Source organism: Homo sapiens, chromosome 5 (genome assembly GCF_000001405.40).
Source record: "Homo sapiens chromosome 5, GRCh38.p14 Primary Assembly".
Lineage (NCBI taxonomy): Eukaryota > Metazoa > Chordata > Mammalia > Primates > Hominidae > Homo > Homo sapiens.
The window spans coordinates 101,836,065-101,861,772 of NC_000005.10; the positions used below are offsets into that span (position 1 = coordinate 101,836,065).

The 25,708-nt window shown below is 34.9% G+C and overlaps 1 long non-coding RNA gene across 2 annotated transcripts in view; it reads right to left on the reverse strand.

The window, feature by feature from the left end:
* The window catches only part of LOC105379102 (uncharacterized), a 328,753-nt gene extending 310,482 nt beyond the window's left edge, over positions 1-18,271 (reverse strand). For both annotated transcript variants that reach the window (XR_007058891.1, XR_948628.3), the window contains exon 1: positions 18,061-18,271. This is a non-coding gene — a long non-coding RNA (uncharacterized LOC105379102). The remainder of the gene's footprint in view (positions 1-18,060) is intronic.
* Positions 18,272-25,708: the final 7,437 nt, after the last annotated feature.

The following is a 25,708-nucleotide window of genomic DNA, read 5'->3' on the forward strand; positions in this document are numbered from 1 at the left end:
GAATAGTTTTTTCTAATTATGTGAATTATACTAGTAATTTGATAGAAATAGCACTGAACCTGTAAATTTCTTTGGGCAATTTGGACATTTTAATGATATTGTCTCTTCTACTCAATGAGCATGGGATGTTTTTCATTTATTTATGTCATCTATGATTTTTTTCAGCAGTGTTTTGTAGTTCTCCTTTTAGAGGTATTTTACATTCTTGGTTAGATGTAACCTTAGGTATTTTAATTTATTTTTAATGAGATTATTTTAATTTTGCTCTCTGATTATTATTGGTGTGTAGAAATGCTACCAATTTTTGTACATTAATATTGTATCTTGAGACTTTGCCAGATTTTGGTGTCAGATACTGGTTTCATAAAATGAGTTAGGGAACAGTCTCTTTTTCTCAATTTTTTGAAATAGTTTCAATAGGATTGCCACTAGCTGTTTTTTATATATATTGTAGAATTCAGCTGTGAGTCAATCTACTCCAGGGTTTGTCTTGGTTGATAGGTGTTTTTATTACTGAATTTCACTACTCACTCTTGGTCTGTTCATTATTTCTGCTTCTTCCTGATTCAATCTTAGGAGGTTGTGTATTTCCAGGAATTCATAATATCCTCTAGATTTTCTAGTCTGTGTACCTAGACATGCTCATAGTAATATCTAAGAATCTTTTGTATTTCTGTGAGAGCAATTGTGATGTCTCCTTTGTCATTTCTCATTGTACTTGATCTTTTCTCTTTTTTTGTTAATCTAGCTAGCAGTCTATCACTCTTTTTATCTTTTCAAAAAGACAAGTTTTCATTTTGTCAGTCCTTTGTTTTTTGTTGTTGTTTTTTTCTCAATTTCACTTAGTTCTGCTCTGATTTTAATTATTTCTTTTCTTCTGCTAGCTGTGGGTTCCATTTGTACTTGTTTTTCTAGTTTCTTTAGTTGTGAGCTAAGGTTGTTAATTTGAGATATTTCTATCCTTTTAATGTAGACTCTTAGGACTACAAACCTTCCCATTTAAAACTGTTTTTGCTGCGTCCCAGAGGTTTTGACATGTTGTATCTGTATTTTCATTTGTTTCGAAGAATTTTTTTAATTCTGCTTTCATTTTCTTGTTTACCCAAAAGTAATTCAGGAGCAAGTTGTTTAGTTTCCATGTATTCATGTGGCTTTGAGAATTCCTCTTGGCATTGATTTCTATTTTTATTCCACTCTGGCCTGAGAAGATTCTTGATATGTTTTCAAGTTTTTAAAAATTTATTGTGACTTGTGTTGATTGAGCATGTGGTCAGAGTATGTTCCATGTGCAGATGAGAAAGATGTATATTCTGTTTTTTGGGTGGAGTAGTCTGTGGATATCTATTAGATCCAAGTTGTCAAGTGTCAAATTTATGTCCAGAATTTGTTAGTTTTCTGCCTCAATAAACTGTCTAATTCTCCCAGTGGGGTGTTGAAGTTCCTGACTATTGTTATGTGACTATTAAAGTCCTTTCTGAGATCTAGAAGTAATTGTTTTAAAAGTCTGGGTGCTGCATTGTTAGGTACATATATATTTAAGAGAAGTAAGTCTTGTTGAATTAAATCCTTTATCATTACATAATGCCGATCTTTATTCTTTTTTACTGCTGTGGGTTTAAAGCCTATTTTATTTAATATAAGAATAGTGAACCCGGCTCTTTTTTGTTTTCTATTTGCATCATAGATCTTTATCCATCTCTTTACTTTCAGTCTATGGGTGTCATTACATGTGAGATGGGTCTCTTGAAGACAGCAGAAGGTTGGGTCTTGTTTTCTTATCCAATTTGCTCTACGTCTTTTAAGTGAAGCAGGTAGGCCATGTATGTTTAAGGTTAATGTTGATATGTGAGGTTTCATTCCTGTCATAATCTTGTTAGCTAGAAGCTTTGTCATCTTGACTGTGTAGTTGCTGATAGAGTCTGTGGGCTATATGTTTGTGTGTGCTTTTGTAGTGATAAGTATTGTTATTTCATTTCTATGTTTAGTAACCCCTTTAGTATCTAGTGTAGGGCTGGTGTGGTGATGATGGATTCCCTTAGCAATTGCTTGTCTGGGAAACACTTTATTTCTCCTTCATTTATGAAGCTTAGTTTGTCAGGATATGAAATTCAGAAATGTGTATTCTCTATTGTAGACAAATAACATTTAATGAAGATTACCCTGGCTTACATTTTTTAAAAATCCCTAACTGTATTGCACAGAATATAAATTCGCATCATGTTCTAAATATACAGTAAAGAAATATTCACTCAAATGTACTTTTCAGCAATAGTGCATCTGCCTGAAAATGATGTTTAAAATGGATTGCTACTTTGTGTTATAGGGTATAATGAGAAGGAAATTTCAAATTTACAAGATTTTGTGTTTATTTTTGTTCTCCATCTTGAAGTATAGAGAAGCGAATTCCTCCACATTCTTCCAGCACTAAGTACACTGATTAGCTCAGAGTTTCTAAGCATTCTTGGCCTCATTTCAGAATTCAGTAGTACTTAAAGCCACAAATGCCAAATCTGTGTCAGTTTCTTCAATGCAAACACGTGTGGAAAAACAAGAAAGATAATGCAGAGAGGCTCAAGACCAGGAAAAGAAAGAAGAAATTCTAGCCTGGATGTTTATGAATTAATCCAAATCCAAAATACTTCAGAGCAGGGCAAAGTTCCAAAATATTTTGATCATGTGTCTGACCCTCCCTGTCCTCTGCGCGTGCACAAACACACACACACACACACACACACCAACGTGCTTCTGATGTTAACTGCTAAACTATGGATTATTACTTTTCTTTCATTAAACCATGTTTCCACCACTAAATATTAATTTGTTTCATTTTATGTATATTTCCTATTAAGCTATAAAAATAAGTGATATATACTTTATTCTACTTCTCTTTGCTTGTCATTATCTTAAAGCACTGATTCTCACATTTGACCTTTTTTATCATTTTCTAGAAGTCATTGAAGAATTCTAAGGTGTATCCTTAGCCAAGTATAATCTTCTTCTATCTAAAACATAGACCTTGAACTCCATCTAATACAAGCTAAATGGTCATTTTTGCTATTAGTTTATGAATGTGAAAAGAGAAGATTAACATCTGAGTATATTATCTTAAGAACACCTAGAAAAATATATACCATTTGATAATGCTAACACATATTTCTATCTGCATTTTGAAAAGAAATACTAAATATCTAAGAAGGTAATAACATTTTTCTAAGTGCCCCATTATATCAAAATACATTTGAGCCTTCATCAAATCAACTAAGTAGCTGACATCAAATGAAAATGCCACAATCAAGTAGAAATTTAACTCAGAGAAGAAAGGTCAAGTCTTTTAGAAAAGCAAAATTATTAAATAATTTTTCCTAAACTTGTATCATGAACATAAAAAACTTTTAGAAAAAAGAAATCGTGGTATATTAGTGTGCAGGAGATAGCAACAGCAAAATGTCCTTAAGAAAATGTTAATGAAATGATTACATAAATTCTAAGACAAAGAAAGATATTTATTACGACAACCTGTCTTTGGTTGGTTCATATAATATGTGAATACTTTTGTGTAAGTAGGGACTATTAGCCAGTATTTATGGTTGTTCCATTCTTCTGGGAATAGAAGCAATATACAAACTGACATCAAATGCGGCCTATCTCCAATTATATATAATGTAGCATTGTTTTAATGTGTACATGTGTCATAAATATGGACAGAAATATCATATTGCACTTTTATTCCAAACGATGAAATAAAATTTAAGTCAAAATGCAGATTTTAAAGAGATAGTTCTTTAGTTTTAATAAAGTTGTTTGAGTTGTGATGCTTACCAGAATTTAATTTCTGTAGTTTATGCTCTGTTTTTAACAGAGCAGTGGTAGAAACTAAAAATTAGCCAATTTCTTTTATAGCATATGCCATCCAAACAAGATTTCAAAAAGATCGGGCATGTGAGTTCCAGTGGAAAAGTTGTGTCTTCACATATATATGTGAAGCCATATATAAAGACTCATATTATATATATTTATATATATAATATGAATCATCACATTTAATTGTTATAAAATATACATAATATAAAGTTTACCATTTAACTATTTTAAATTACGTTTATTAGCATTAATTACATTCACAGTTTTGCAATCATCACCACTATCTAGTTTAAGAATTCTTTTATTACCCCCAAAAGAATTCCCTTTGCCTAATAAGAAATCACTTCCCATTTTCTCCTATTGCATTCTCTGGCAACGCTAATCTGCTTTCTGTATTGAATGATTTGCTGTTTTTGATTCCATGTATATTGAATCATACAATATGTGGCCTCTTGTGTCTCTCACTTAGCATAATGTTTCCAAGGTACATCTGTGATGTATGATGTATTAGTACTTCATTTCTTTTTAGTCCTGAAAAATATTCCATTGTATGAATATATCAGATTTTATTTATCCACTTATCAGCTGATGAACATTTGGGTTATTTCCACCTTTTGGCTATTGTGAAGAGGGCTGCTTTGAAACATTGACCAAGATTAACAAATCTATTAGTTTTCAGTGCTAACCAGTGAGGGGGAGAACTATTAAGTTATAAGAGTATAGAAATAATGTTATAGTACTATAGAAAAGGAGAGAGATTCAACATCCAAATTTTGAATGTCAAGGAAGATTCCCAGAAAATAATGAGATAAATGCTTAGATGTGAGGGATAATTGACATTGGTAAATTTTATATAGAAATATGGGGTCATATTTTGGGCATACATCACAGTGCGCTCAGACTCTTGGGCCACAAGAGAATGACATTGGGAATAAATTTATGTAATCTTAATATGAACAAAGAATGTATGTGTGGAAATCATGAAAAGTAAAGGGACTGAAAATACGCAGCATGTTAAGCACATATGGACTTTAACCTAAGAAAAAGAAGCATATGCTGCCTTCATCTAAAATGGAAAGTTGGAAATTACACCACTCACAATGCAAGAAGAAGAAATACGCCAGGTTATAGTTTGAATAAATTCACTAGATAAATGAAGTTACAGGGCAACCAAGTAGCATAAAATATATGAAAAAATTTGTCCCTCCAAAAAGAGGGCACACATAAGCACTGGTCTCTGTGCTCTGTGGTAGAGCACAGGAGAAATAAAAGTCAAAATAGGAATTGATAGAAAACTTCTTCACACTGATAAAGTCACTGGACCTACAGCTAACATTATACTTAATGATTAAATTTAATGATTAAACTCACTTATTTCTCACAAAGTTTAGGAAAAAGACAAGATGTCTGCTCTCACCATTTCTATTCGACATGATACTGGGTTTCCTACCAGCACTGTAAGGTAAGTAAAATAAATAGAGAAAGAAATAAAAAGTTTTCAATTCAAAGAAGGTATGATTATTGTAGTGAAAATTGTAAGGAATCTATAAAAAGCTAATAGCACTATTCAATGAATCCAACAAAATCTTAGAATACAAAAATATATTTATATAACCTAGTGAGAAACAGTTGAAAATGAAACAAACTCATATCATATATAATAGCAGTACAATTATAGAATAATATAAATCCAACAACATATGTTCAACTACTATATGATTAAAATACAAGATACTGATGAAAGATGTCAAAGAAGATCCACATAAATGCAGCAATATAATGTGTTTGTATGTCAGAAGACTTAGTAATTTTAAGACGTGTATTTCTTCCCAAATATTTAGACAGATTGTTATCGAAATGAACAAGCTAATTCTAAATGTATGAAAAAGGCAAATGAGCCGGAATAGCCAATACAATTTAGGAAACAACACAGTTGGAAGACTCAACTACCTGATTTCCAAACTTATTATAAAGTGTACAGCAGTTCAGACAATGTAGTAATGGCAAAATTAAAGACATGTAGATTTATGTTTAAGAAAAGACAGTGAAGAAATAGATGAACACACACACATAGAGACAGAAAGAGAAGATATATGTCCTTTTATTTTATTCTAAGGCACAAAGAAAATTTGATAGAGAAAAGATCAACTCTTCAAAAACATTCGAATACACATATGCAAAAAATAAAAATAATTTTTACAAAACTTTGACCCATACTTCATACAAGTTTTTAAAACTCAAGAAGGATATTATACATTTATAGAAACCCTAAGATTTTAAAACTTCTGGAAGAAAACAAAAGACAAAATATTTGTGACTTCACATTGGGTAATTTTTTTAGATATCATCAATAATACAATTTATTAAAAAATAGATAAATAGGTAGCATTAAAACTAAATCTTTTGCTTTTCAAAACATACTGTTAAAAAAATAAAAAGACAAGCCAAATTCTTGGATAATGTATTTTCAAAGTACATAGCTGATAAATAACTTGTATCTATAGAATATATGACTTCTCAAAACTCAATCATAACAAAAAAAACTTACCAAAAGCATAGGCAAAATATTTGAATAGGTATTTTGTCAAAGAATATATCTATAGATGTCTAAAACACACATAAAAAGATATGCACCCCATTTTACATTAGAAAAATAAATGTAATTACAAAGCATAAGAAAGTACTATCACACTTAGCATAGATGAAAGCAAATATATTTGACAATACCAGCATCTAGCAAGAAAGTAGAACAGTTGAAACACTTACGCATTGCTGTTGAAAATGCAAAATTGTAAAGATAACTCCTAAAAGAATTTTAAAAATTCTCCCGAAGTTAAACTTACATCTACAGTATGACCAAGTTTTCCCAATTATAGAAATTTATTGATCAGAAAGGAAAGTCAGGTGGGCACTGTGGATAATGCCTGTAATCCCAGCACTTTGAGAGGCGGAAGCGGGCAGATTACTTGAGGTTAGGAGTTCGAGATCAGCCTGGACAACATGGTGAAACCCCGTCTCTACTAAAAGTACAAAAGTTAGTTGGGCTTGGTGGCGCCTCCTGGCTACTCAGGAGGCTGAAGTAGGAGAATTGCTTGAAGCCAGGAGGCAGAGATTGCAGTGAGCCAAGATCATGCCACTGCACTCCAGCCTGGGTGACAGAGCAAGAGTCTGTCAAAAAAAAAAAGAGAGAGAGAGAGAAAGAAAGAGAAGAAAGAAAGAAAGAAAGAAAGAAAGAGAAAAAGAAAGTAAGAAAGAGAAAGAAAGAAAAAGAAAAAGAGAAAGAAAAAGAAAGAAAGGAAGAAAGGAGGAAAGGAGGGAAGTAGGGAAGGAGGGAGGGAGGAAAGGAGGGAAGGAGGAAAGGGGGGAAGAAAGGAAAGAAAGAACGAAGGAAGGAAGGAAGGAAACTCAGGTTCACTCAAAAATTTAAACACAAACATATATTGTGGTTTTATTCCTAAATGTTCAAACCTTTTGCCATAGTAAATTTAGGCTGCCATAACAGAATTCCATAGACTGGGAGGCTTAAACAAAGGTCTATTTCTCACAGTTCTAGAGACTGGAAAGTCCAGGATCAATGCACCAAAAGATTCTGTGTCTAGTGAAGCCATGTTTCCTGTATCTAATATGTCAGAAGAAAGGAGAGATATCATTCTGGGATCCCTCTTACAAGGGCACTAATGCCATTCATGAGAGTGTCACCTTCATAATCTAATCATATCCCAACGGCTTCATCCCTTAATGCCATCACATTGGAGGTCAGGGTTTCAACACAAATTCTTAGAAGATACAAACATTCAGCCCATTACACCTGGAAACAATTCAAATGCCTTTTCATAAAAGAATAGACACAAACTTTGTGACACTTCCATATAATGGAATACTACTTAGCAATAAAAAAGGAACAAATTATTGATTTCTACAATCACATGGATGGATCTCAGGTGTATTATTCCGAGTGAAAGAGGTCACAATCATTTATATTTTGAATAATTCTACTTATATGACATTCCAGAAAAGTCAAAAGTATAGGGATAAGAAATAAACAAAATGGTGCCCATGACTGAGGGTTGTTGATTTGAGTACAAAGGCACATGACAGCATTCTGAGGGATAATGAAACTGTTTTACATATTAATTTTGGTTTTAGCAACACAAGTGCATGTGAATTTAAAACCCATACAATGATCTGCTAAAAAATAAGGTTTATTCACCAAAGTAAATGTTACCTCAAGAAACCTGTTCAAAAATAAAGAAAAAAATGCCATTGAAAATAGAGTGAACTCTGTATTTGTAAGAAGTTTTTTTTTGAAGAGTATTTCCTTAATAATGTAAATAATTTGTTTAGGAGCAGGTGTGAGCGAAACAAGAATTTCAGTTTCTTATCAGGGTAGAGCAGTGGCCAGTAGAATAGTGTATTAAGATCAGAGGGTGAAAACAGAATCCATGAGTATAGATGCACAATTTGAAGTGCCATTGTGACCTCCAAGTGAAGATATTGGGTATGTAATTAGGTATTTAACTTATTGGCTTACAGACTTGTAAACTATACATTTAGATTTAAGAATTGTCAATATGTATTGAGTAAAGCCATTGATTTCCCAATCATTAAATGTATTATCTTTTTATTTACCTGACCTGCATTTGTCACCATTACTATAAATAATTGTAACACAGATGTAGTGTCATAACCTATATAAAACTGGTATTAATAACCACACATGCTTCCCAGGAGGATGGATGTGTAAATCCTTTTAGCATACTAGCACAACTTGGATTTAGAATTAACTAGGAGAACCCTTGACTTGTGGTTATTAATGATGTTTGGGTGGACATGGAAAAGACAAGCCCTTCCACTTAGGAGAAGTGAGCATGAAGTCTGAGATAGAAAATTGATCAGAATTGCGAGGCTTCTCACTGTCACTATTTGGCATCATGATGTTGCCTCAGAGTGTAATGGCTAACAAGAAAACAGAACCACCGAAGGCATATTTTAGGTACTTGGCCTGATAAATCTGCTCTTTTTGGGCTGCAACAGGTCTATTTTTTTTCTCTGTGTGTTTTTTATTAATCTATCTGATTTACATTTTAATCAGAAAGAGTCAAAATAAGCTATATTTAAAACACTTTATATTGATCCCAGGGAGTGATGTCAGAAAGACAGCAAAATAGAAAGTCCCACCCTTGTTTCTCCACAGAAACACAGATTTAACAATGATAAATGAACCAAGATATCTGTATGAGATGTGCATATTCATTGAAGAAGTTGCAGTGCTGTACATAAGTACAAAACTGAGAACGGCCACATTGAAATGGATAAGAAGAGCAATCTAACTATACCTGCATTAGCTGCTCTCCTAAACCAGTGCAGCTCAGCACTGAGAAAGATCACCTAGACATGCAACTTTTCACTTGAGGGAATAGAGAGAGTAGAGCATGTGTCCAAGTTCTCTGGCCTCTCAGAGCGCTGCCCGAAAAACCAGTTTCATTCCATACAGAGTACTGATGGAAACTGTGTCGTTTTAACACTGGAGAGTAGGTTAGAACAAAGTAAAGGGACAAATGACTTGCTGAAGGCTGCATGGCTTGATGAGATTGGGAAAAAAACAGAACTTGAGGCTTCACCCCAGAAAGTGAGGGAAAAGAGTGTCTCTCCAGTTATAATCCGTGGTACAGCAGCCACACACCAGAGAGAGGAAAAGATTATAGGACTTTTTTTTAAAAGTAAATTGTACTAATTATTTTTTTTAAAAGAAAGAAAACTACATGCACAGTCTAAAGAAGGCATATCCATAGAAAAGATTTGCAGTGCTCCAAGAATCTCTAGCCAGACTGACTGGGGAAAGTTCTTCACTGTAGAAGTCAGTCTGTAATGACTGTGGTGGCTGGCTGTTTCTTCAAATAAATGGTTACCAATGCACAGATAAGAAATATAAAAAATAAGAGAAGTGTTAGCCTATCAAAAGAACAAAATAAATCAAATTAAAAAATGAATTACCTGAAAGGGTTTAAACATAATCATCTTAAAGAAGCTCAGTGAGCTACAAGAGAACACAGAGAAAAAACAAAATGGAATCACAAAAACAATTCATAAAGAAAATGAGAATATCAACAAAGAGATAAAACTTAAAAAAACAAAAATTATGAAGCTAAAGAATATAAAAACAGAATTAAAAATTTACTAGAGGGAGTCACTGCTTGTGATGGTTGGAATTTTCATCCACTCTAAAATTCATGTTAAAATGTAATCCCTAACGTGGAAATACATATTTTTTTATTTTTAAAACACGTTTGTTTGAAATAAATGAGCTTGGTTCATAGCTCCTCTCTGTTCTATTTTCCCTAATGGCTACCAGTACTGTTCTCTTTACATATTGTCCCTATTTTTAATGATAGCTATTTTACAGAGATGACAATTTTTCCCCTACCTCCAAAAAAATCCACACACCCATCCCATACAAACATAGATGACAACATTCTAATATAAAGTGACTGTGTAATGAATTTTCACCTCCTAAATAATAGAGACATCTCTGTCTGAAAAAATGGATATAAGAGGATGTCTCCAAAGATGAAGAAGGACACTACTGGTTTCTAGACAGAACAGCCTTGCTCAAGGGAACCACAAGACTTAGCCAATTGACCAGAATTCTTTTGATCATTTTGTTCTTAACTTCCACTCCATTTAGGACATTATTGCATCCTCTGCTTGATCAGCTGTACTCCCAAGGCTCCTTGGCTACAGCAAATTCATGAAGCTGTCAGCATGCCTTTGTGCACAAAGCAGCCCTCAGTGAATGTTTGTATAATAAATGAATAATGAAAGAATGATTGGAGAGTGTAAGGAAGCCTCCTGCCATTAATTACAGTATCTTGCCATAACACAAATTCTCCCACATGCATTTCTACTGGTCCAGCATATTATTACTTACATTTAGTTAGCCTGCTTTTAGGGTGAGAAAATATAAAAAGTATGAGAAATGATCTAAGATGCCTGCAGCTTAATAATTTATTTGTGTTTTCACATTATTTAAGAGATTACCAATGCAAGATGCAGGGCTTTCTTAAGAAATGATATATCCTCAGTGCACTGAATGTTTACAAGAAATTAAGAATAAAACTTTAAAAAAAATTACAAATGCAATATTACTGTTGGTGATTATTTTGTGCCAACCAGGAAATAACTGATCTAATTAAACCCACCTGATTGCCAGCCAGAAACCTAGGCCTACCATACTTAAGAGATTTGACATGTAGGACCTTTAAGAAGTAATTGGATCATGAGGGCAGAGCCCTCAAGAATGGATTAGTCTATTCATGGTTTAATGAATTAAGAATTAATAAGTTAATAGATTAATAGCTGTGATTAGTGTGGCTCTGGTGCCTTTTTTAATTTTTAATTTTTATGGGTATAGAGTAGGTATATATATCTGTAGGATACATGAGCTATTTTGATAAAGGCATGCAATGCAAAAAAATGACATCATGGAGAATGGGGTATCCATCTCCTTAAGCATTTATCGTTTTTGTGTTAGAAACAATCCAACTGTATTCTTTTAGTTTTTTTTAAATATACAATTAAATTATGATTGACCATAGTCACCCTGTTGTGCTATCAAATACTAGGGCTTATTCTTCTATTATTTTTTACCCATTAACCATCCTACTTCCTTTCTACCACCCCACTACCCTTCTCAGCCTCTGGTAACCATCCTTCTACTCTCTATCTATATGAGCTTAATCGTTTTGGTTTTTAGATCCCACAAATAAATGAGAACATGTGATGTTTGTCTTTCTGTGCCCTACTTACTTCACTTGACATAATGATCTCCAGTTTCATCCACGTGGTTGCAAATAACAGACTATCATTCTATTTTAAAGCTGACTAGTACTCCATCATATATAGGTATCATATTTTCTTTATCCATCCATCTGTTAATGGATACTTAAGTTGCTTCAAAATCTTAGCTATTGTGAACAGTGCTACAACAAACATGGGAGTGCAGATAGCTCTTTGAAACATTGATTTTCTTTCTTTTAGATATATACCCAGCAGTGGGATTGCTGGATCATAGAGTAGCTCTATTTTTAGTTTTCTGAGGAACCTCCAAACTGTTCTGCATTGTGGTTGTACTAATTTGCATTCCCACCAGCAGCATACAAGTGTTCCCTTTTCTCCACATCCTCCCCAGAATTTGTTATTGCCTGTCTTTTGGATAAAAACCATTTTAACTGGGGTGAGATAATAACCCACTGTAGCTTTGATTTGCATTTCTCTGATGATCAGTGATGTTGAGCAGTTTTTAATATGTCTACTTGGTATTTGTATGTCTTCTTTTGAGAAATATCTATTCAAATCTTTGGCTCACTTTTTGATCGGTTTCTTAGATTTTTTTCCTATAGAGTTGTTTGAGTTCCTAATATACTCTAGTTATTAATCCCTTGTCAGAGGGGTAATTTGCAAATATTTTCTCCCATTCTGGGAGTAGTCTCTTTACTTTGTTGACTTTCCTTTGCTGTGCAGAAGCCTTTTAACTTGATATGATCCCATTTGTCCATTTTTGCTTTGGTTGTCTGTGCTTATGGGATATTACTCAATAAAATTTTGCCTAGACTAATGTCCTGGAGATTTTCCTAATGTTTTCTTGTAGTAGTTTTGTAGTTTGAGGACTTAGACTTAAGCCTTTAACACATTTTGGTTTGATTTTTATATGTGGCAAGAGATAGGGGTTCAGTTTCACTCTTCTGCATATAGATAACCAGTTTTATCAGCAACATTTATTGAAAAGACTGGTTTTACACCAGTGTATGTTCTTGGCACTTTTGTCGAGAGTTCACTGTAGGTGTATGGATGTTTGTGAGTTCTCTATTCTGAACCATTGGTCTGTGTCTGTTTTTATGCCACTATGATGCTGTTTTGGTTACTATAACTCTGTAGTATAATTTGAAATAATGGAATGTAATTCCTCCAGTATTGCTCCTTTTACTTAGGATAGCTTTGGCAATGCTGAGACTTTTGTAGTTTCATATAAATTTTAGGATTTATTTTCTATTTCTGTGAAGAATGTCATTGGTATTTTGACAGAGATTGCATTGACTCTGTAGATTGCTTTGTGTAGTATGGACATTTTGACAATATTGATTCTTTCACTCCATGAACATGAAACCTTTTTCCATTTTTTGATGTTCTCTTCAATTTCTTTCATCAAGGTTTTATAGTTTTCATTATAGATGTCTTTCACTTCTTTGGTTAAGTTAATTTCCAGGTATTTAATTTTATATGTGGCTATTGTAGATGGGATTTTTTTAATTTCTGTTTCAGATTATTCACGGTTAATTTTGTATGTTGAGTTTGTATTCTGCAACTTTACTGAATTTGTTTATCAGCTCTAATAGTTTGTGTGTGTGTGTGTGAAGCCTTTAGGTTTTTCCAAATATAAGATCATATCATCTGCAAAGAAGGATATTTGACTTCTTCCATTCCAATTTGGATGCCCGTTATATCTTTCTTTTGTATCTTTATATCTTTATTTATATCTTTCTTTGGTCTGATTAGTCTAGCTAGGACATCCAGTACTATGTTGACAGTGGGCATCCTTGTCATGTTCCAGATCTTAGGAAAAATACTTTAGTTTTTCTCCATTCAATATGATACTAGCCATGGGTCTATTGTATATAGCTTTTATTATGCTGAGGTTTGTTCCTTCTACCTCTAATTGTTTTAGGGTTTTTGCAATGAAGTGATGTTGAATTTTATCAAATGATTTTTCAGCATCAGTTGAAATGACCATGTGGTTTTTATCTTTCCTTCTGTTGATGTGATGCATGACATTGATTAATTTGCATATGTTGAACTATCTTTGCCTCTTAGGCATAAATCCCACCTAGTCATGATGAATGATCTTTATAATATATTGTTGAATTTAGTTTGCTAGTAATTTGTTGAGTATTTTTGCATCAATATTCATCAGATATTGGCCTGTAGTTTTCTTCTTTTGATGTGTCTTTGACTGGTTTTGATATCAGGGTAATACTTACCTGGTAGAATGTGTTTAAATTATTCCCTCCTCCTCTATTTTTCAGAACATTTTGAGTAGAGTTGGTATGAGTTCTTCTTTAAATGTTTGATAGAATTCAGAAGTGAAGCCATCAGATCCCAGGCTATTCTTTACTGGGACACTTTTTATTACAGCTTCAATGTCATTACTTGTTATTGGTCTGATCAAGTTTTGGATGTCTTCATGGTTCAATCTTGTCAAGTTGTATGTGTCTAGGAATTTGTCCATTTCTTCTAGATTTTCCAATGTATTGGCATATAGTTGATCATAGTACCAACTAATGATCCTTTGAATTTCTGCAGTATCAATTGTAATGTCTCATTTTTCATTTCTGATTTTATTTATTTGGGTCTTGCCTCTTTTTTCTTAGTCTGGCTAAAGGTTTATCTTTTTTTTAACTCTTCAGAAGTCAACTTTTTTTTTATTGATCTTTCATATTGTTTTCTTCAATCTCATTTATTTCTGCCCTGATCTTTATTATTCCTCCTCTTCTACTAATTTGGGTTTGGTTTGCTGTATTTAAGATGCATTGGATTGTTTATTTGAAAATTTTCTTCTTTTTTGATGCAGACACTTACAGCTATAAACTTCACTCTTAGTACTCTTTTTTTGCTGTATCCCACAGGTTTTAGTGTACCGTGTTTCCATTATCCTTTCTTTCAAGAAATTTTTCAATTTTATTCTTAATTTATTCATTGACTCACAGGTCATTCAGAAGCATATTGTATATAATTTCCATATATTAGTATAGTTTCTAAAATTCCTCTTATTAATTTATTTTATTCCATTGTGGTCAGAGAATATGCTTGGTATTATTGCAATTGTTTTGAATGTTTTAAGACTTGTTTTATGACCTAACACATGTTCTATCCTTGAGAGTAATTCATGTGCTGAGGAAAATAATGTATATTCTGCAGTCATTGGATAAAATATTGTGTGAATATTAATTAGATCCATTTGGTCTACAGCGCAGATTACACTGGATGTCTCTTTGTTGATTTTTTTTTTTTTTGGTCTGGAAGATCTGTCCAATGATGCTTTTTTTAAGAAGAGAAAGAGAGACCTTAACTAGCATACTCAACTACTTCACCATGTGATGTGATATGCCACCCTGATGCTCTGCAAAGAGTTCCCATGAGCAAAGAAGGCTTTCACCAAATGCAGCCCCTCAGTCTTGCACTTCTCAGGTTCTGTAACTATAAGAAAGAAATTTCTTTTCTTTATAAATTGCCCAGTTTGGGATATTCTGTTATAAGCAGCAGAAGATGGACTAAAACATAATCTGACTTGAGAAAGAATCAGTGAACTAAGAAAATAGGTTATTAGAAATTATCTAGTCAGATGAGGAAAATAAATAAATAAAAGAGTAAAGAAAACCTAAAGGACTTTTGGTACACCATCAAGTGGAACAGTGTATGCATCATAGGAGTCCTTTAACGAGAATACATGTTTTAAACACACACACACAAAACAGAATGCTGATTTTTTAAAAAATATTTTTGAAAACTCCAAACCTAAGGAATCTGAAATGGGCATCCAGACTCATAAAGCCCAACAGCCCTGAAGTAGGTTAAACCCAAATAAGTCTACACTAAAAACACTAAACTGAAATTGTCAAAAGTCAAAGATAAAAAGAATTTTGAAAGCAGCAAGAGAAAAATATTTGTCATGTATAAGGAAGCCTCCATAAGACTATCAGATTTCTCAGCAGATATCTTGCAGGTCAGAAGGAAGTGGTATAATATATTCAAAATGCTAAAAGAAAAACAAAAAAACAAAAATACCACATAAGGGAAAACTGTCTCTCAAAATGAAAGAGAGATAAACACTTTCCCAGACAAAGACTACGGAAGTTTATCAACACTAGACTTGTCTCAAAAAATTTTGAAAGGACGTCCTTCAAGTTGAAACAAAAGAATGCAACACAAATGTATATGAAGTACAAAACTCACAAGTAAATATAAACAAATACAGAATACAGTAATACTAAAATGGTAGTATAAATCACTTAATTATGATACAGAGTTGAAAAACAAAAGTATTTGGAATAACTGTACTAACAAATATATGTTAATGCATACACTATGAAAGGATGTAAATTGTGACAGTAATAACAAAGTGTAAAGGGAAAATACAAGAGTAGCATTTTTGTATGAGATTGAAGTTAACCTGTTATTAGCTTAAAATAGACTACTATAGCTAAAATATATTTTATGTAAGTTTCATGGTGAAAATATCTACAAAAATACACAAAGAAAACAAAAATGATTGAAGGCATATCACTGCAAAAAAAATCAATGAATCACAAAGGAAGTCAACAAGAGAGAAAAAGCAGGACAAAAGAACTAGAAAACTGACAATTAACAAAGTGGGAAAAGGACGTTTCTCCATATAAATAATTGCTATAAATGTAATTTCTTAAACATTTGTTGAATCAAAAGACATAGATTGGGCCAGGTGCAGTGGTTCATGCCTGTGATCCCAGCACTTTGGGAGGCCGAGGAGGGCGGATCACGAAGTCAGGAGATCTAGACCATCCTGGCTAACATGGTGAAACCCCGTCTCTACTAAAAACACAAAAGATTAGCTGTGCATGGTGGCACACGCCTGTAGTCCCAGCTACTCAGGAGGCTGAGGCAGGAGAATAGTTTGAACCCAGGAGGCAGAGGTTGCAGTGAGCCGAGATCGCACCACTGCACTCCAGCCTGGGCGACAGAGCAAGACTCCATCTCAAAAAAAAAAAAAAAAAAAAGGCGTTGATTGGCTAGATGGATTTTAAGAAAAAGATACAACTATATGCTGTCTACTAAAACTTACTTTAGATCTGAGGACACACATAGCCTGATAATGACACGATACAAAAATATAGTCCATGAAAATGGTAACCAAGAAAGCAGGGTTGGCTATCCTTATATTAGACAAAGCAGCTATTAAGTCAAAAATTTTCAGAAGAGACAAGAAGAAATCTATTTAAAAAGAAGGCCCTCACCAGACACCTAAACTGCTCATACCTTGATCTTGGACCTCGAAGTTCAAGATCTTTGAGAAATAAATTTCTATTATTTATAAGTCATTCAGTCTAGGACATTTTGTCAGGGCAGCCTGAACAGAATGTGACACTTCCAAACTCATCTGTGAGGCCAGCACTACCCAGATACTAAAACCAGATAAGACCAGTACAAAAAACAAAACAAAACAAAAATAACTATAAGCCAATTTTCTTGATACATATGGAAGCAAAATCTTCAATAAAATACTAGCAAACCAAATACAATAGCATTTTAATAAGCTCATACACCAACACCAAGAAGGATTTATCCTTGACATGCAAGATGTTTTAACATGTTCAACCCAAACAAAACGATACACCGCATTAACAGAATGTAAAATAATAAATCATGTGATTGCCTCTATAGATGCAGAAAAATATTTGAAAAAAATTAACATATTGGCCATAATAAAACTTTCTATAAACTAGGTATAGAAGAAATTTACCTCAAAGTAATAAAAGCCAAGTATGACAAGCCCACAGCTAACATCATTCAAAATAGTGAAAAACTGAAAGTTTGTTCTCCAAGACCAGGAACAGACAAGGGTGCCCACTCCAAACACTTCTATTTCCCATAGTACCAGAAGTCCTAACCAAAGAAATTACCAAGAAAAAGAAATAAAAGTCATCTAAATTTGAAAGTAGAAACAAGTTCTGCTTGTTGATGACACAATTTATATATTTTAAAAAATATAAAGACTCCACCAGGAAAAAGAACTACTAAAAAAAGCAAAGTTGTAAGATACTAAATCAGCATAAAAAATCAGTCAAGAAAGTGGCATCACCAAAATGGCAGAGTAGAAGTCATCTGGCCCACCTTTCCCTTCAGAAAACCAAAAACAACTATTCGGTGCCATCCTTATCCCAAGGAATATCCCGGAACTCAAAACGGAGACAGTTATGATCCTTGGGGCCAAGGGGAAGTAAAAAAACTGCAAGCAGAAGTAAGAGAAACAGATCTCTGTATCCACAGTAAGAGAAACAGATCTCTGTATCCACAACAACCCTTTTCCAAACTGGCAGAAAACATGTTGAAAAGATACCCTGGACTTGTGGTTTCTACAATGGAAAAAATGAGATCAAGTCAGGCATTCACCTTCCTCACCACAGGTTTCTTCACAGGACCAACTCTTCCTGTCTCGATGCATGAGAAGCAGAAACCAAATCATACTGGCTGTTCAGCATCAGCACACTGTAGGAAGCATGCTCCATGGGTCTTCTGACACAAAGATCACAACACACATGGTGTCCTTTTCGTTTTCTTTACAGAAAACCTCTGGTTGAAATTTCTGTTGTATCCAAGGCACCCTATGGAATGGGAGAAAATTTTTGGAATCTATCCATCAGACAAAGGTCTAATATCTAGAATCTACAAGGAACTTAAACAAATTTACAAGCAAAAAACAACCCCATCAAAAAGTGGGCAAAGAATATGAACAGACACTTCTCAAAAGAAGACATTTATGCGGCCAACAAACATATGAAAAAAAACCATCATCATTGGTCATTAGAGAAATGCAAATCAAAACCACAATGAGATACCATCTCATGTTAATTAGAATGGCGATCATTAAAACGTCAGGAAACAACAGATGCTGGAGAGGATGTGGAAAAACAGGAACGCTTTTACACTGTTGGTAGGAGTGTTAATTAGTTCCACCGTTGTGGAAGACAGTGTGGCGATTCCTTAAGGATCTAGAACTAGAAATACCATTTGACCCAGCAATCCCATTACTGGGTATATACCCAAAGGATTATAAATCATTCGACTATAAAGACACATGCACATGTATGTTTATTGCAGCACTGTTCACAATAGCAAAGACTTGGAACCAACCCAAATGCCCATCAGTGATAGACTGGATAAAGAAAATGTGGCACATATACACCATGGAATACTATGAAACCATAAAAAAGGATGAGTTCATGTCCTTTGTAGGGACATGGATGAAGCTGGAAACGATCATTCTCAGCAAACTAACACAGGAACAGAAAACCAAACACCGCATGTTCTCACTCATAAGTGGGAGTTGAACAATGAGAACACATGGACACAGGGAAGGGAACATCACACACTGGGGCCTGTCGGGGGGTGGGGGCTAGGGGAGGGATAGCATCAGGAGAAATATCTAATGTAGATGATGGGTTGATGAGTGCAGCAAACCACCATGGCACGTGTATACTGATGTAACAAGCCTGCACATTCTGCACACGTATCCCAGAACTTAAAGTATAATAAAATAAATAAATAAAAAATAAAAAAATTTAAAAAAAAGAAATTTCTGTTGTATCCAAAACACCTTGATAAATCATGTATTGACTCTTGTTGTGCATTACTCTAAATTTAATGTTTGCTAGACAAGGAATATGAAATTACTAAGCAATATAGAATTATTGAATTTTGCCTTCTCTATTTGAGGAAATCAAGAAACATTGTCTCCCTATTGTTTCTTTCATCATTTTATAAGAGGGTATTTTATTATTACACTTGTCAATTTTGAAAAGTAGATCCAAAAGTTGTCTTCTTATATCCCAGTATTTATCAGATAGTCCTTTATTGTTTGCTTTGTAAGTGAGAATACACAACCATGACATTTACATATCTTTAGGAAGAATATGCCATTTAAGCAGTACAGTCTAGCATGTCACAAACTAACAATATCATCTGCTTTTTAAGAGAAAACATTTAGATTGCCTTATGCAATTTAAAGTTTTCAGTATATTATCATTATCAAGCATGAAGGGTATTGTTTAGAAATGTTTATTTTTCAGCCAAACAGAATCAAACTAAATGCAGATATTTTATGCTCCATAAAGTAATTTAGGAAATCACTTAGCAAACACATTTTCATCAATGTTACAATTCAAACCATTTCATGGCATTTGCATTTGCAATTCAATTCTCATAAAAGCAAACTACAAAACCACAAATCATTGGTCCACTAAGTAGTACCTGGATATGGGAATAGTAACACTTAATGCATTCTGCAGATTGCTGGACTGCAGTAAGCCAGGTACTCCTTTGTACTTCAGACTCTTTGTAAATTATGGAATACAATTGTTTCTGTTTGGCTGTTTGTATTTTATTAAGAGTGGAAGAAAGGGTGTGAGAAAAAGAGAAAGATAAAATTTCCCAAGTCCATATGAAATAAAGAAAAATATAATTAAAAATAATTTAAAAATGAAGCTACGTGTCTATCATTTTATGAAGACTATTCTACTAAGGTTTCCTCTAGTCTTTCTCAGAAGTGCCAACAGAATGATCTAATTTTTTCCTACTCAAAGGTACATGTTATTATTTCTAAACTCATTCTTTAACATTTTGCATCATTTCACTTCATAAATTATTATCTGCCCACATTAGGACACTGTACGACTGAGAGAAAAATCTGAGTGGGGGATATTTCCACCAGTGCCTTCTTGCAATGGACCAATCACAGGCTTATAAATACAAAAATAAATTAGACAATTGTAATCATATTTACTGAGTAATATTGTTTGCAGAACATCAGGTGTTCAAAAAGAAATGCCATTTTGAAATATCTTTTGTCACATTTGAGATTAAATTTGAAGAATGATAAATTAACTTTTCCCCTAATAATAAAGTATTCTAGTTTTTAGGCTATTATTTAAACCAGTCTTAGTACATAACAATCTACTGTCCAGAAAGGATTAATACCCATAAAGTGATTATCCAACTCTGGTGATAATTAGCACATCAGGGGAATAAGATTTCCATTTAAGGTATAATTTATTCTATTTCATTTGATTCTAGGGGTCATCAAAGTAGCTTTTTATGTACCTATGAGCTAGCCTACTGGCTTCAGTCACTAAATTTCTCTACCATGCACTCTGCACATCCCTTTTTTTCTTTAGCTATTTCTTGTTGATTTGGTTTCTCACAAGCCATTAAGCAGAACTGCATAGTATAAACCTGTCACAATTTTGGACTATACGTTATGCAGAGAGTTTCTAAAAATTTTCTCATAAAAATACTTATTTCAACTTGTGCTTTCAACAGGAGATATTACCCTTCATCTCCAGTGGCAAAATTATTTGAAGCTGATGAGTCATATAATAGTTCTCAACTCCCCAAAGCACCTTTATTATGGGAAACTACTCCTGTACTGTCATTTAGTTTGTGAAATATGAAATGCTACTGTGTGATTTTTATCTCGAAATACCTAAGAGAAGAAAATATAGATGACAATTTCTCACTAGATAGGAATCTTAAAAGGTTGAACTTACACTGTTCATGCTAGATTTCTCAAGAGTGCTCTCACATGGATTTAAGGGATGCAACCGTCTGTTAATATTTTGCTATTACATTCAAAAACTTACTTCTTAGAAATTAAATACAGTTTTAAAGATCCTCTGCTATCTCCTTAATGTATAAACTGAGCATCATGGGAAGCAACTAAAATAATAAGACCTAGAGGGAAAAAAGACCCTAATAATGGTGACAATATAAGCCTTATCTGCTTACTAATAGAAGGACAGTGTGGAAGCTTAATAAATTTCCCCATTTACTCAAGATCCACACTGGTGGTAGAAAGGTGTTAAATAAACACAATGAAATATGAGGGAAGCAAATTAAAATAAATAAACAGACCATTCTGTACATAATGTAATACAAGTTAAAATCTAGAAATAAAAGTTAAAAATATTTCAACTTATAGTCTAAGCTAATGTTATATTTTCTGGATATGTCTATATTGTTTAAAATTGACATTTGCTTTTATACGTTAATGGACATTAAAACTTTTCTTACTGTATTAATGCATTTCTTATGTTTGACCACCACTTGGCCAATGACTTGTATTGATGTAAAAGGTAGCAAAATATTAAAAGAAGCTCCAAATTGAACATTTAATAACTTAACGAAATAATAGTTCTGATAAGGGCAGTATATTAGTCAGTTCTCATGCTGCTATGAATAAATACCCGAGACTGGGTAATTTATAAAGAAAAGAGTTTTAATTGACTCACAGTTACGAATGGCTGGGGAAGCCTCAGGAAATTTACAATCAGGACGGAAGGCGAAAGGGAAGCATGGTGCATTTTACCTAGCCAGGGGAGAGAGACAGAGAAGAGTGAGGGGACTGTAAAAACACTTTTAAACCACCAGATCTTGTGAGAACTCACTCACTATCACGAGAACAACACGGAGGAAACCGCCCCCATGGTTCAATTACCTCCCAACAGGTGCCTCCTATGACACGTAGGGATTATGGGGATTACAATTCAAGATGAGATTTGGGTGGGGACACAGCCAAATCATATCAGGCAGTTAAGAGAGAGAGAATGAGAAATACAGAAGGCTCAGTTTGAAGAGATGGTATTGAGGAGTGATTTGCAAATTTGAGAAGTAACTAATTTCACGTGAGGTAGTGGTAGCTCAGCAAGAAAATAACATTAAACTAGTTACGTTATTTCATAAGTGTAATTTTTCTTTGCCACTTCTTGGTATAATTCAGAAAACATCTGGAATAATTTCCAATGTCTTTGGATGATTAACAAGATTACTAATCAAATGCAACATTGTGCTGATCTTGTCTGATAGATTAGCTTTATACCCACTACATATATTACTTACTATAAATCCCTTTTGGAATAGTGGGAAGACATACAAAAACAGATAGTATGACAGATTAGAATGTTTCTATCAGGATTCCATAAGGTTATTAAAATTTCATGACTCTGTGAATCTAGACACATAGAATTAAAAACAATACTATTTTATTCCAGAAAATGAATTGCCGTTATTTTAATAAGAGACAGAGAGACCAAAATTATAAATTTTTGGAACAAATAAATTTAATTTCTTTAATTTTTAATAGCTCAGAATACTTTAAAATCTGCTAATTTTGATTCTAAAAATATATAACACTTTTTCTAGGAAAACAATTCATAGATAGTTAAGGTTTTATTTTGATTTGTTTGCTTGATTTTGCTTTTTCTTTAGTGACACATTCAAAGTGGATTCTCTGTTAATTGCTTTTTTAAAGAAATAACTACTCAAATCTTTAAGTGTATGTTATATTTTGATGCATTTTTAAATAACGAAGTAGAAGATTTGATACCATTCTTATCAATTAATATATGGTATACCAAAGTAACAGACAATCCTGTAATTTCAGTGGCTTACACTAACAAATATTTATATTTTTGCTCATGCCACCTGTCCCTCACAGATGATGATGTGGGGAGGCATGTGGGGTGTTCTCGGTTGTAGTCACTTAGTAACCCGGGCTGCTGTAGTTTTCATCATCATCTTGGAACATTCATCCATGATTACCAAGGCAAAGAAGTAAGATGTGGTGAATTTTGCATCTTAGCACTCCGAATTCTATGTAAATGTGGTTGTAATCATTCATGCTTTATTATCCAAAGCAAATCAAATGGCAACTTGTAGATTGAAAGGGGCTGGTAGTTGAAAGCCTGTATTATACCTGGATGTGGGCAAAAGCAGGAATATTTGGTGAGCTATATGAATCATTTACATATCCTTTAAAGAGATTTCTTTTCTATATAACTGTGTAATAGCATATAAAGCTACAAGTAAGTGAAAACAATAAAATGAGAGTGGTTGGGGAGAGGGCAAGATGGCCGACTAGACCCAGCCAGGTGGAACTGTTGCCTCTGAGGAACTAAGACGACTGGTGCACTCCTACCAGATCTTCAGAGGGGAGGCACGGAGAGTGGAGGAAGGGAAGACGCAGAAGCCGGGCTGAAAGGAGAAGAAGCTGGGAACCCTGCAGAGAGATACTGTGCAATGAGACTAATTGTGGGCTCCCAGTGACTCTGGGGGACCGGGTGAATTTGAACTGACAAGGAGTAACCCACTCTCGCCATGGGCCTCCAGAATGCCAACAGGAGGAGACCCCCTTGACCACCACAAACACTTGAGTTGGCAGGGAGAGCTGTTTACAGAAGTGGTAGGGGCCTCAAGCCAGCTGATGTGAAGTTCAGAGGGTCTGGTGCCAGTGTATCTGTAGCAGAGCACAGCCAGGGAAGGCCATTCCCCTAGGCTCAACTTGCTCCGGTAGGAGACTTCAGCCATAAGAAAACTGTCGGTCCTGAACTCTGCAGAGCGGTCTTCCCTATCAGATGGGGCCAGTTCAACCTGAGCAACTGTTGGTCTGTGGCCTCTGTAGGGTGCCAGCCTGGCCACACCAGCTTGCAGGGCGCCTCAGGTGCCTTGGGGGCACGCATCATAGCTCCTGCACCAGTGGATGTGCCTAACCTGAAGAGAGCTCTAGCAGGGCAGCCCCCATGGTTATACACCAGCATACCTGCTGCCTCCCCACACTGCAGCTTACCCCAGGCCCACAGCAAACCCCTCATATTGTTTCGCCAGCACGTCGGCTTGAGGAGGCGGGTTTTGCCTTCCTTGCCCTACCAGCACGAGCGTGTGGATACGCCCTGCCCTGCCACAGCTGTGGCAGGAATGCAGTTTGCCCATATCTCCCCACTAGACCACCGTTGCTGTCAGAACCACAGAGCCAGCTAGCCACTCTTGCACCAACACTACCGTGGGAGTGAAACTAGGCACAGAGAACAGTGGACCTTCCCCTGCCCTGAGCAACCACTCCTGCCTGTGGTGCACAAAGAGCACACACAGACTTGTGCTGTCAGCTCCCTGCCCCCATGCTAACACTACTACCAGCAAATCTCACTCACAGTTTTAAGCAAGGGCCCCCAACCCCACAGCCGTGCTGCCTCCACCACTGGAGTGAATCCCCACATGGAAGCAGGCACCCCGGCACCCACTAGCATCCTGCAGCAGCCAACGAGTATGCACCCTGCTGCACTGCTGCTGCTGCGGCTGCTGCTGCTCATACTTGTGAAAAAGTAAGGATTCAACTGCCACCTCACTACAAAATGCTTTGGGTGGACCCACTGGAGTTCAATGACAAACGGTCCAGGAGCACCTCATCACCCCCCTCCCCTACAACCAGTGCAGTGGATTCCTAACCTCTAGGAGCTAGATAACAAAGTCAGGCCCCAATATAAGGTCCCCAGAGTTAGAGCATGTAATCCAGGAGTTGAGAGCTGAGGTGCTGGCCCCCTAAAATCTTCCAAAAATGTAGTTTATTGGATGAATTCACCTTATAGCACAGCTAAACCCTCAAGGTTATCAAATAGGAAAAAGAAAAAAAATCCAAAGTTCAGCAACTTCAAAGATTGAAGAATCATCAGCCCATAAAGATGAGAAGAAACACAAGAACTCAAACAACTCAAAAAGCCAGAGTGCCTTCTTTCCTCCAAACAATCATATCGCCTCTCCAGCAAGGGTTCTTGACCAGACTGAGAAGGCTGAAATAACAGAAATAGAATTCAGAATATGGATAGGAATAAAGATTATTGAGATGCAGCAGTATGTTGAAGCTCAATCTAAGGTAGCTAAGATCACAATAAAATGATCCAGGAACTGCCAGACAAAATAGCCACTATAGAAAAGAAGATAATTGATCTGATAGAACTGAAAAACACACTACAAGCATTTCATAATGCAATCACAAGTATCAACAGCAGGATAGACCAAGCTGAGGAAAGAATCTCAGAGCTTGAAGTCTGGCTGTCTGAAAACAAACAAACAGCAGCAACAACAACAAAAAAGCCAGTCAAGAATACAGAAAAAAATGAAAAATAATAAAATCTCTGAGAAATATTGGATTATGTAAACAGACCAAATCTATGAATCTCTGGTGTCCCTGAAAAAGACAGGGAGAGTGTAAGCA